The 13,600-nt window shown below is 44.3% G+C and overlaps 1 protein-coding gene across 1 annotated transcript in view; it reads left to right on the top strand.

Annotated features, from left to right (window-relative positions):
* GOT1 (glutamic-oxaloacetic transaminase 1) overlaps positions 1-13,600 on the top strand; it is a 33,755-nt gene that overhangs the window by 18,276 nt on the left and 1,879 nt on the right. The window contains exons 3-8 of the mRNA NM_002079.3: positions 5,500-5,623; positions 6,100-6,212; positions 6,489-6,593; positions 8,475-8,625; positions 8,715-8,880; positions 9,627-9,769. Coding sequence (NP_002070.1) covers positions 5,500-5,623; positions 6,100-6,212; positions 6,489-6,593; positions 8,475-8,625; positions 8,715-8,880; positions 9,627-9,769 — 802 coding nt within the window. The remainder of the gene's footprint in view (positions 1-5,499; positions 5,624-6,099; positions 6,213-6,488; positions 6,594-8,474; positions 8,626-8,714; positions 8,881-9,626; positions 9,770-13,600) is intronic.

The raw sequence follows: 13,600 nt of genomic DNA, 5'->3' as shown, positions 1-13,600 counted from the left end.
CCCCACCCCCACCGCCCATAGCTCCCCCATTGCCTGTAGGGTAAAATCCAGACTTTGAGCTTGGCATGCAGTGAAAGTAGGTGACAGGTGACAGTCTTCATCCTGTTCTTACAGTTGCTGATTTCCCCTCACTCCACTAGAGGTCCTGACATTCTAAGAGTCTTGCTGTTCTCTAGACCTACTGGGCCCTGTCAAGACTAAGAACCTTTGCCTGGCCCTTCTCTCCATTTGGAATGCCCTCCCTTATTGCTCTAGCTGTCCAGTCCCCACCTCTAAGTCCTTCAAGAGCTGATCAAGGGTCACTTCCACACTGAATCCTTAGGTATTTTAGGCAGAGCTTGTTGTTTAAGCTCTCTGAGTTATCACAGGACTTTGTTCACAGCTTGGGAATAACAGTACTTAACTGTTCTTACTATAATGGATAATTTTATAAGTCTTCATCTCCCACAAGGCCCTAACTTTCCCCAGGAGAGTGATCATTGCTTATTTACCTTGCAGATTTTCAGCATTTGGCTCCTATCCGGGTACCTCAGGTTCCAAAGGTTTGGATTCATTCATTCCTTTAGTCATCAGATGCCCACTACTAGAGCCAGGCACTGTTCTAGATGCTGGAGCACAGCAGTGACTCAAACACACAGAATCCCCTGCCCTTGCATTCAGTTTCGGGGAGAGGAACAGACTCTAAATGTAATCTTTTTGACTATATCAGTAAGAAAATGATGTAGTATACTAAAGATGATAAATGCTATAAAAATGGAGCAGGAGGTGGCATGTTAGGAATTCTAGGAGTGGATACAGTTTTAACTAGGGTGGTTATGATAGAAATAGAAATGACATTTGAGCCAAAACTTAAAGACGAGACATAAATGAAAGAATGAGTGAACAAGTAAACCAACAGTAATTGTTTCTTCCCTTAGATTTTTCTTCTCCAGATTCAACATTTCCAGATCCTTTACCCATTTTGAGGAGACCTATTTTCTAGACTCCTCACTGCCTTGTATTACTTTTCCACTTTCAGATCTTAGGATCCAGACAGAAATGTCGATTTTTCATCTCTGGCATAGTGCTGTTTCAGCTTTGAGATTACTGAGCATTGTAGGAAGGAGGGCTCATGGGTCATAACTCATTGTCACATCATGACATCCCACTCTCGCTTTGATTGCCTCTAGGCGACTTGGGGCTTCTGCTGTGGCTCAGATCTTTTCACCACTGTCTTCTTTCTTCATCTAGTTCAGCACATGCTTATGTAGTACCATGTGCCAGATGCCGTGAGAGATGCTGGGGGCACCCAGATGAATGCAGCATGGCTCTGGCCACAGGCAGCTCCTGGTTGCTCTCCTATTCCTCATGGTGAAGTCATAGTATCGGCAAATTGTTATCTCAGACAAGGGTTCTAGAATCCAGCAATCTTATGCTGACATGTCCAACAGAGGCCTGCTCTATCTAGCTTCATACCAAGTCTTCCTGGATTTCCCTTGTTCTGGATACTCTTGTTTACCCAGGTCCAGTTGCCTGGCTCCTTGAGAAGTCTGTACTTACTTCCTTTGATGTTATGATTTTCCTTTATAACAAGTACAGGACATTCTTAGGCTGTAGGACAATTTGCCAAAAATCAGTTCACAGAATGACCACATTGCTATATTATTGATTCACCAAAAACTTGTTTCTGTTAGTTGCTGATGTTTAGAGCAACTTGTGTTTCACTGAAGCCATCCAGTATTTAATAGATTTTTAGGGAGTGATAACTTCTTGAGAATTTGATATTTCAAGTGTCATATATGTCATGAATGTCAAGGATTAGTTAATGTGGAGTGGGTTTATCTCTTCTAAGCACATTTTTAATGTATTCTACTGATTTTTAAAAAAATGAATTTGCTTTCTGTAGTGGGAGAGAAAGGGTGGAGTGAAAAGTTGAGAACAGGAAATGAAAAATTATGCCTGGGAATGTTTCCACTGGTATCTATGCATCTATCGTGTTTCCAGAAGTTAAAACCATGTTCAAGGGAGGTCTTGCTCATTTGCTTAGGAAGTATTAGCACTCTAGAGTGGCTTAGGTATCTGCAATGTGAAGTCATGTATGAAACTGACATTCAACTTAGCTGGATGACAAATCCATAAAAAATAAATGCACATTTGTGTTATATCATCTTGGTAGCAATTTGCATAAAGAATTCAGGTAAACCACAATGTGGGGGCAAAACTTTTAAAGTAATAGCAAGGGATGAGTGCTCAGTAAGGATCACTGTAAATAACAGAGTAGTTAGCACACCAAATCTGACACACACTGAGCATTTTCACCCCAGTGCACTGCCTTTGCCCCTCTCTGTAATGTACAGCTATGTTTAGTTCTGCATCCCCTTGAATGTCAACTTTGCTTATGTTTCACATTTCAGATAGTATTCTTTCACAGATGCTCACACCTATAAATACAAACAGAACATTGGTGCATAATAGTGCCGATAATTGGTAACATTACCTTGTTGTTGGCTTAAATGGGATTTCTACTAAACGATTCACTGTTTTTAAGCTGACTTATGGGTTAAATGAATTTTTTTCAGTCATTTTCAGGAAGTATCCACTGTTTCCTGTTTTACTAAGCATTTATCTCAGGAATAGCCAAGCTTTTCTTACCTGTTGTGATGATCATTTGGGTTTTCTCTATCTAGCAGCATGATTGGTTTTATATCTCTTATAATCCATTCATGGGATGACTCTCAATCAAGGGGGTAATTTTAATGTACTGCTGGATTAATATTGTTCATTAATGTTTACTTGGGAAGTTAGTATCAAGGTACGATCTAGGTCTCTCATTCTACTTTTTTCCCTTTTGTTGTCTTTTAGCAGCAATGTTATGTTAGGTTCTTGAAAAGATTTAGGAAGCTTTTCTTCTCTAAGAAGAGTTTTAAAACTTTTTTATTGGCCAGGCGTGGTGGCTCATGCCTGTAATCCCAGTACTTTGGGAAGCCGAGGCAGGCGGATCACGAGGTCAGGAGTTGGAGAGCAGCCTGACCAACATGGTGAAACCCCATCTGTACTAAAAACACAAAAATTAGCTGGGTGTGGTGGTACGTGCCTGTAGTCCCAGCTCCTCAGGAGTCTGAGGCAGGAGAATCACTTGAACCCAGGAGGCGGAGGTTGCAGTAAGCCAAGATCGTGCCACTGCACTCCAGCCTGGGCAACAGAGCGAGACTCTGTCTCAAAAAACAAACAAAAAAAAAACACAAAAAAAACCTTTTTATTATGGAACATTTCAAATCTATATGAAAGTAGAGAAAACAGTATAAAGAATGAATCCCTGTGTATCCATCACCTAGCTTCAACAATTATCTGTATAGGGTCAATCCTGTGTATTTCCATCTACCCACTCCCTGCCTCCCTGCCTCCCTGCCCTCCACGAAAGCTGGATTATTATTTAATAGTAAATCCCAGACATCTAAATAGGTGTTTGAAATTGTAAAATTTTATGACTAATACATGAATACATTCATCTTATTTTTAAAAAAACGACTTATAGATTAGGCCAAAGTCCCTTTCAACCACTATTCCTACATCCTTGGACCCCTCCCCAGAGGTTGCCACTGTTAGAAGATTGGCGTGTGTCCCTCCTTGTATTTACTTATTTATTTATTTGAGACAGAGTCTCACTGTGTTGCCCAGGCTGGAGGGCAGTGGTGCGATCTTGGCTCACTGCAACCTCTGCCTCCCAGGTTCAAATGATTCTCACGTCTCAGCCTCCCGAGTAGCTGAGATTACAGGTGTGTGCCACCATGCCCAGCTAATTTTCTTGTATTTTTAGGAGAGACAGGGTTTCACCATGTTGGCCAGGCTGGTCTCAAACTCCTGGGCTCAAGTGATCCACCCACCTTGGCCTCCCAAAGTGCTGGGATTACAGGCGTGAGCCACTGCGCCCGGCTAGATAGACTTTTTCATGTGATCTTTTTCTTCCTTTCTCTTCAATCCTTTAGACAAATTGGGCAACATGGGGTTTATGACATTTTTCTGCTGAGAGACTTATGCTGAAACCTAATTAGAATTTTGAAGAGGCAAAATCAAAGATCTATAGGCAGAGAACTACATCATTAGAATGTAGTGACTCCATCTAGAATGGAAAACCTGGATTTGTGCTGAGCTGTGCCACTCACAACTGTGTATCCTTTGGGAAAAACATGTCTCTGAATCAGTTCCTCATGTTTCAGGGGATATAGACTTGACTTTAGAGGGCATGTGGGCATTGAGTATACATGAAAGCATTTTGTAAATGATAAAATATAGGAATAGAAAACCAAACACCTCATGTTCTCACTTAAAAGTGGGAGCTGAACAATGAGAACACGTGGACACAGGGAGGGGAACATCACACACGGGGGCCTATCGGTGGGTGGGAGGCAAGGGGAGGGAGAGCATTAGGACAAATACCTAATGCATGCGGGGCTTAAAACCTAGATGACGGGTTGATGGGTGCCACAAACCACCATGGCACATGTATAGCTATGTAACAAACCTGCACATTCTGCACACATATCCCAGAACTTAAAGTAAAATAAATAAATAAATAAATAAATAAAATATGGCTTTTATTATTGCCTATGTTAGGTCACTTTAGGATGAGAGGAAGCCAGCCAGGCGCAGTGGCTCACACCTGTAATCCCAGCAGTTTGAGAGGCCAAGGCAGGCAGATCACAAGGTCAGGAGTTCGAGACCAACCTGGCCAAAATGGTGAAACCCCGTCTCTACTAAATATACAAAAAATTAGCCGGGCATGGTGGCAGGCGCCTGTAGTCCCAGCTACTCGGGAGGCTGAGGCAGGAGAATCACTTGAACCTGGGAGGCGGAAGTTGCAGTTAGCTGAGACCATGCCACTGCACTCCAACCTAGGTGACAGAATGAGACTGTCTCAAAAAGAAAAAAAAAAAAAATGAGAGGAAGCCAAGGAGAAGAAAGTAGTACTCATGCATCACCTCTGTTTTGTTAGAACATACTTCTAAGGATTAATAAGCCTGAATTCTAGAGATGAGGAGTAGCACAGATTGATGTCAATGACAAGTTAGGAACACTGTTTTAGAGGCTTATGCTAGAGGGTAAGTTTGATCTTAGGATGGGTGCTGAAGAGATGGGTTTGCCTTCCAAGGCATGTGCGTGCATGCACACACACACACACACACACACTAATGTGGCCTCGGTGTGTCCTCTACCTCTGTGTTCAGAAGGGAAGCTTCTTCTAGTGTCAGACCTCCTGGGTTGAAGACTGGCACTCCTGCTCAGTAGCTGGTAACTTTGAGCAAGGTTCTTCACCTCTCTCAGCCTCAGTTTCCTCAGTTGTAAACATGGGCAAATCATAGTACCTTTTTCATGTAGTAGTTGTAAGGTTTTGATGAGATAATACAATTAAAAGCCTTAGCACAGAGCAGGCATAGAGTAAGTGCTCATTATTACCTTATTTTTGTAAATATTATCTGACCTCACCATTATCAGCCTGTGACCCTGTTTCTTCTCTTTCAGGTAGGAGGTGTGCAATCTTTGGGGGGAACAGGTGCACTTCGAATTGGAGCTGATTTCTTAGCGCGTTGGTACAATGGAACAAACAACAAGAACACACCTGTCTATGTGTCCTCACCAACCTGGGGTGAGTCTTTCAGCTGAAGTGAGAGGAAAAACAGAAACCAGAGAGAATTATCCTCATGACTCTCCCTGGTTACACAGAAAATGTAATCCAGCCCTAGAACAACTGACTGTTGGGAATGGCTTGAACAGTGGGTTATGGCAGTGCATGAGAAACCTGCTGCTCAAAATCAAGTTAAGAATACTCTTTCTCAAGACTCTTAGTAGACTTGTATCTACCAAGGCTATGTTGAAACTCCCCAGAGGAGGCATAGAATGTAGATGCAGGAAGTATCATTGTAGTAGAATATAAGTCTGGCATTAATGTGACTGGTTGAACTTGTTCTTGGTTACAATCATTCCTCTACATCTTAACCCCCAGCCTGGATGATGCCCAGTGGACATTGAGCCTGGGAGGGCCCTGGAAGCTGACTTGCATCCTTTCCACTCATGCCTCCTAGTGTTTGTAAAGTGCTTAACTTTTTACTTCTTTGCATGCAGAGAATCACAATGCTGTGTTTTCCGCTGCTGGTTTTAAAGACATTCGGTCCTATCGCTACTGGGATGCAGAGAAGAGAGGATTGGACCTCCAGGGCTTCCTGAATGATCTGGAGGTGGGTGATTTAGAGGAAAAAGTAGAGAATTGCATGGTGTCAGGAATCTCAGGCAAAGTCTTTGGACCAGTTGCTAAGTGAAGGAGTCTGAGACACCTTCCCCATACCTGATGGTGGTTTCTGACATAGCATGTAAGAGAGAGGGCACAAAAGAGACATGAAAGAGTGACAAGAATATGGTTGCCCTTTGCCCTCCATCACTGACCAATCTGCTGCTGACTCTGTCTCCCAATATTCCCATCAGTGTCAGAGCTGACATAGCTTCCTTCTCCTCAGAATGCTCCTGAGTTCTCCATTGTTGTCCTCCACGCCTGTGCACACAACCCAACTGGGATTGACCCAACTCCGGAGCAGTGGAAGCAGATTGCTTCTGTCATGAAGGTAACTGCCCCTTCAGAGCATCTCTTAAAAAATAGTATATATTCTTATTTAATGTATGTAGAAGCAATACCTGTTTGCTGTTTGCTGAGGAATTAGGAAAATGGAGAAAAGTCCAAAGAAGAAAATAAGTATTAACTGTAAATTTTATTACCTAAAGAAAGATACTGTTAATGTTTTGGTAGATAGAATGTCAGACTGTGTGTGTGTGTGTGTGTGTGTGTGTGTGTGTGTGTGTCTAGTTTTATGTATATGTTTTACAAAGATGAGATCATTTTGTCTGTACTGTTTTGTGCAACACAATTTGTTTTTCATTTTCACTTCTTTATATACATGTCATTGAATATTTTGCAGCATCATTTTTCATAGCTATATTATATTTCTTTCATGGATATGTCATATTAGGGATGGGGTAAATCATCTGATGAATATTTAGGTTTACTTCAGATTGCTTGATCTGATGAAAAATTATGTAACAAAATTTCCTTTTATTATTTCTTTGGCGTAACTTTCTAGGTGGGAATTCCTAGCTGAAAGTGTGTATATTCTTCCTTAACGAGTTTGTAGAATACTTATTAAGGAACTGCTGTGTATTGGACACTGTGGGAATACACTATTGAATGGAGCAGATGCAGTCCCTACCCTCAAAGACAGACAGCCTGTTTGGGGAGATGGACGAGTACTAAGGCAGCTGTGATGCTGTGAGATAGCTGTGTTGACAGTGTTATAGGGGGGTACATAGCCCAGACTTTGGGCAGTGTATATGTGGGAGTTGGCGGGTTGGTGGCAGGAACCTTCCTGGAAGCAGTGGTTTCTATGTTGAGTCCTGTAGGATGGGGAGGAGCTAAGAAGGCATCAGCAGACAGGGGTTGACAGGGAAGGGATGTGCTCTGCAGAGGACGGAGCATGGTCAGAAGCCCCAGGCAGACATCATGGGGAGTGTGAGTGATGAGGCTAGAGTGAATAGGGGCAGGGTCTGTGCTGAGGCTTGGACTTTATTCTCAGGGCAGTGCGGAGCCACTGAAATCTTGGATGTCGGGGAGTGACATGATTGGATGTGCATGGTCTTAAGGCCACCCTGATGTCATAGCAGGGAATGGGTCAGAGAGAGGCAAGACTAGACAGGCCGTGGGAGCAGTTAGGAGACCATTGCCATAGCCCAGGTAGGAGTTGATGGTGACCTGGATGAAGTAGGTAGCAGTGGGGACAGTGAGATGCAAAAGGATTTGGGAGCTCTGAAGAGACAGGACTGATGAGACTTGGGGAGTGCCAGGATGTGGGGGATGAGCTGCAGAGTTAGGAGTCCAGATTCCCCCCAGTCCCACCTAGTCAAGATAAACCTAAGAGATGGGAATCAAAGTACAACCAAAGATTTGGACAGTTCCGGGGAGGGAAGTGGTGTCCACTCAGAGAGCACAGCTGTAGAAGCAGGTTCCCTGTGGAGAGCTCTTTGAGGAGATGAGTGACAGGAATGGAGGCTACTCTGTTCCCTTCCTCTTGAGTACCTAGCAGAATAGCCCATGAGGAGCCCTGGGGATACCAAGCCTACACTTGACTAAGGCTCTCACGCCAGAAATTCACAGAGGAAAATCCACAATGTAGGACATTGTCTCCTTGCATCAAAAGTAAGCCCTGTTTCTCTAAGCTGAATTGGGACACTCTAGGACAATTTACTTTTAAAAAGTAAAGTTTACGGAAAAGGTTACACTTGTTGGTTGTAGAGAGAAATGGATGTAAAGTGGAGCTTGGGTGCATATAGTCAAGAAATAGGAGAAATGGACAGCATTTGAAATTCCCTCCAGGCATCAGCTGGGGAAGGAAGGCCGGTGTCTGAGGTTGGTGCCAGAAGGATTTCCTGCCCTGACTCACTTTGCTTCCCCGCAGCACCGGTTTCTGTTCCCCTTCTTTGACTCAGCCTATCAGGGCTTCGCATCTGGAAACCTGGAGAGAGATGCCTGGGCCATTCGCTATTTTGTGTCTGAAGGCTTCGAGTTCTTCTGTGCCCAGTCCTTCTCCAAGAACTTCGGGCTCTACAGTGAGTGCTCTCCTGAGGAGTTACAGCCCCACCTCCTCGCATCACTCCCTGCTTCAGCAGCCACAGCTGATTCTGGTCCCTCTCTTTAGATGAGAGAGTCGGGAATCTGACTGTGGTTGGAAAAGAACCTGAGAGCATCCTGCAAGTCCTTTCCCAGATGGAGAAGATCGTGCGGATTACTTGGTCCAATCCCCCCGCCCAGGGAGCACGAATTGTGGCCAGCACCCTCTCTAACCCTGAGCTCTTTGAGGAATGGTAAGGGGCTCCCAGTCTGGTGGGCCGGGGGGTGGGGAGTGCAGAACAGTAATTGTCCCAGTACATTTAACTGGGTCTCTTCCTTTCATTTTGGCAGAAGCAGGATAAAATTACTTTAACTTCTTTGACTCTCAGATATTTGTAAAACAGGGGCTGATATCTACCTCACACGTGCATAACACAACACCTGGAAGACAGGAGGGGGCACTCGATGAATGGTAGTTTTCCCCAATTTCCCCCCCCACCCAGTCTTCCTCTCCATGAAGTTGGAAAACCCAAGAAGGTATTCCCAGCAAAATAGAATATCGAACGTCTAGGCAGTTTAACAGTTTGGGAGCTCTTGGTTTTTATCTGTAATTTACATACACTTTATCTTATTTTAGAACAGTAATTTTTATATAGTAGCTAAATCTGCAATCTTTATTTAGTAAGTCCTGATGAAACATATTGCCCTATTAATATCTATAGCAGCACCTCGGTGAAGCCTGAGTTGAAATGTGAGTGTATTCTAGCCAGTATACCCAAGACTAGCACTAGACTCACTAGTAAATGCAGTCCTTTCCTTCTGCCCCCTAAGTCTCTCTCTCTGGTATGTTAATCCACCCATCCAGACATCCACATGCCATAATAGGCAGGTTATGATCCCATTGTCAGCTGTCGTTTAAATTAGAGTTTTTAAACCTGTGTGTTTTCGGGTACCATCTTTCCTGTCTGGATTGGTATTTACGTCACTGTCCATGCTTCAGGACAGGTAATGTGAAGACAATGGCTGACCGGATTCTGACCATGAGATCTGAACTCAGGGCACGACTAGAAGCCCTCAAAACCCCTGGGACCTGGAACCACATCACTGATCAAATTGGCATGTTCAGCTTCACTGGGTTGAACCGTAAGTGGCCCCCACCACCTCCAGCCCATGCGTGCATGTAGACACACAACATTCCTTTCAGTCGCTCGCCTTGAGCTGAGCTCACTTTCACAGCCTTTGCCTAATTGGGCAGCCATTGCTTTGGACCAGGACAAGTTAGGTTTTCTTAGGGTGTCCCACCATCTCATAAACTCTCTGGGTCTCAGAAGAGTATTGTGGTCTGCCCTGCTGACCCACAGCCAAGATATTTCCGTGTTTGTGGGCTGGGAAGTGGCTCAGAGCCAGCTGGGAGGTAACAGGATTGGTAGCTGGGAGCCTTAATTTATGAAAGGTTCTTATAAATGCTCAGGTACATTTTGGGTTTGCCTTAATCCTGAATATAATGATTATTCAGGGAACTGATTTCTTGACAGGTCTTTCTTATTTCTAGGTATTATCCTCAAAAAGAGATTACAAAGTTATCTCTGCATTTCATAAACAAGAACCTAGATTGGGCTGGGCACAGTGGCTCACACCTGTAATCCCAACACTTTGGGAGGCTGAGGTGGGCAGATCACGAGATCAGGAGATCAAGACCATCCTGGCTAACATGGTGAAACCCCGTGTCTATTAAAAATACAAAAAAATTAGCCGGGCGTGGTGGCAGGCGCCTGTAGTCCCAGCTACTAGGGAGACTGAGGCAGGAGAATCACTTGAATCCAGGAGGCAGAGCTTGCAGTGAGTCGAGACCGCACCACTGCACTCCAGCCTGGGCGACAGAGCGAGACTCCGTCTCAAAAAAAAAAGAAAAGAACCTAGATTGGTGGTTGGAATTAAAAGCTGATTGAAAATCTAGTAGGTGGTCATGCATGGTCTTGGTCAATTGTCAGTAGGGCACATCTGCCATCTGCAGTCCCATCTGATGACAGAAGAGTCATTTCTTCTTTTTTTTTTTGAGATGGAGTCTTGCTCTGTTGCCCAGGCTGGAGTGCAGTGGTGTGATCTCGACTCACTGCAACCTCCGCCTCCCGGCTTCAGGTTATTCTCCTGCCTCAGCCTCCCGAGTAGCTGAGATTACAGGCGTCATTTCTTTAGTAATTCCCACAGTGCAGATGTGGCGACTCACCTGTGTGTCCCAGTGACTCTAGGGAGGGATGTGTGGCTGGCTTGGTTTGTAGGCAGAACGGCAGAGGCCGTGGGGAGGTATTTAACTGGGGCCATCACAGTGCCAGTGTGAAGTGGGCTCAGAAAAATCCAAAGGAAATAAATATAAATGGCAGTTAATAGAGCTTGTATTGTGGACCCCTCAAAATACTTTGGGGTAAAATGAAGCTACCTAAGAAAGTAAAGAAATAGCTCAGTTAGCTGTAGATGTCCTCTTGACTGAGGAACAGAGAATTAGTTCACTCACAATTATAAAAATATTACATGTAACAGAAATATTAATAGTCTTTAGTAGTAATAGTCTAAAAGCTCACAATATGGGAATGTCTCCCTGTAAAATATCCATATCTTCCCATTATCCACAGGAGGAAATTAGTTTTATTAATATCACGAATTGGAAAAATGATGAGAATAGAACTGTGCTTATAACACAAAAGTTATATTTTTAGCGCTTGGCATCATTTGCCCTTATTAAAAACAGGGGTTTTGTTTTCCTCCCAACTTTTTTTTTCTTTTTGAGACAGAGTCTTGCTCTGTTGCTCAGGCTGGAGTGCAGTGGCACAATCTTGGCTCACTGCAACCTCCACCTCCTGGATTCAAGCGATTCTCCTGCCTCAGCCTCTCAAGTAGCTGGGACTACAGGCATGAGCCACCACACCCAGCTAATTTTTGTATTTTTAGTAGAGACAGGGTTTCACCATGTTGACCAGGCTGGTCTCAAACTCCTGACCTTAAGTGATCTACCTGCCTTGGCCTCCCACAGTGCTGGGATTACAGGCGTGAGCCACTGTGCCTGGCCTTTTTTGTTTGTTTGTTTGTTTCAGACACGGTCTCGCTCTGTCACCCAGGGTGGAGTACAGCGGTGCAATCTCGGGCCACTGCAACTTCTGCCCCCTGGGCTCAGGTGATCATTCCACCTCAGTGTCCAAGTGGCTGGGACCACAGGCGTGAACCACCATGCCCGGCTAATTTTTTGTAGAAACGGGGTCTCACCATATTGCTCAGGCTGGTCTCAAACTCCTGAGCTCAAGTGATCTGCCCGCCTCGGTCTCCCAAGGTGCTGGGATTACAGGCATGAGCCACTGCACCTGGCCAGAAAAGTTTTAAACATACAGAAAAGTTGGAGGAATTGTACAGTGAACCCCTATATATCCGCCACCTAGTTTCTACAATTCTCACATTACAATACTTCCTTTGTTATCTTTTTTCTGTCAGAATGGGGCTTTTAACCTGGAATCCCTGGATGTACGTTTAGGAGAACTGTGAAGCCCCTGAAATGATGTTTAAAAAATTGTATATGTGTATTTTGGCCCTGCTCTAGGGAAAGAGTCCATAACTTTTACTAGCTTTTCAAACTGTGACACTTCCCTTCTCTGAAAAAGTAGAAAGGCCTCATTTTTACTAAAACAAAACCAAAAGCCAGGGTAGGAGTCATTTAATCACTGCCTCAGGGCACAGGCTTTTAGAAAGAGTGGCACACCCAGGGCTGTGTTGGCTTGAGGCTCTATCCCCTTGGGTGACCAATTCACACAGGTAAACCTCTTCTTAAGCTTGCTTTCTTTGTTCACTGGTTTGGAGGGGTCAAGGGAAAACTTACCCTTTGCCCTCTGAAAGTTTGCTGGAAATCAGCTGACAAGAGGCAGATTAATAGGAGAAAAGGCATACAAATTTATTTATTTATTTTTGAGTCAGAGTCTCACTCTGTTGCCCAGGCTGGAGTGCGGCGTCACAATCATGGCTTACTGTAGCCTCAACCTCCCAGGCCCAAGCAATCCACCCACCTCAGCCTTCGTAGTACCTGGGACCACAGGTGTGTGCCACCATGCCCGGCTAATTTTTAAGATTTTTTTGTAGAGACAGGGTCTCCTTATGATGCCCAGGCTGGTCGTCAACTCCTGGGCTCAAGCAATCCTCCCTCCTCAGCCTCCCAAAGTACTTGGATTACAGGCATGAGCCACTGTGCCTGGCCAGCATGCAAATTTATTAACTTGCACAGGTGTCTTACAAAATAGAACTCAAATAAATGGCCAGATGATTGATGCTTTTATACCATCTTGGGGTTATAGAAAGAATGGGAGCTTGGAGCTTGCCAGAACAGATTATGGCAGGCAGAGAAGAGAAGGCCTGGTTAGCAAAGGTGGTCTTGTTATATTATGTAGATAAGACAGGTAGCAGCCCTCGGAGAAAATAGCGGTAAAGGTCTATTTCTTTTAGACCTTTAAAGGCATCACACTCTCAGTTAATCTCCCCTAGATCTGGACAAGGGAGGGCCTCAGAGAAAGCCTAGCTGCAGCCATGCAGATTTTCTCTACAGATACAGATCTCTCCCACAAAAGACAGCTTTGCAGGGCTACTTCTGTATGTAGGCCCTCTCAACAGCCATCTCAAAATATGTCAAAGTATATTTTGGGGTGAACTATTTTGGTTTCCTTCAAGGAGCACTGAGTCCAGGGTCCAGATTTTTCACTTCCTTAGAGAGGCACTGTAGCATCACGGGGGCAGTGTACAGCCCAGACTTGAAATCCTGCCTGAAAATCCCACATCCACCATTGACCAGCTGTGCAATCTCGGAAGGCCATTTAATGTCTTTATGGCCTATCTGTAAAATGGGCATGATAAAGTTATTATCAGGATGAACTAAGATGCAGTGCTTAGAACACTGCCTGGCACATAGTGTTTACTCCTCTGATTATGATGATTCTATTATTA

Source organism: Homo sapiens, chromosome 10, assembly GCF_000001405.40.
Source record: "Homo sapiens chromosome 10, GRCh38.p14 Primary Assembly".
Taxonomy (NCBI): Eukaryota; Metazoa; Chordata; class Mammalia; order Primates; family Hominidae; genus Homo; species Homo sapiens.
The sequence above is the reverse complement of the archived record's forward strand: the minus strand, read 5'-3'. Positions and strand labels throughout refer to the sequence as shown.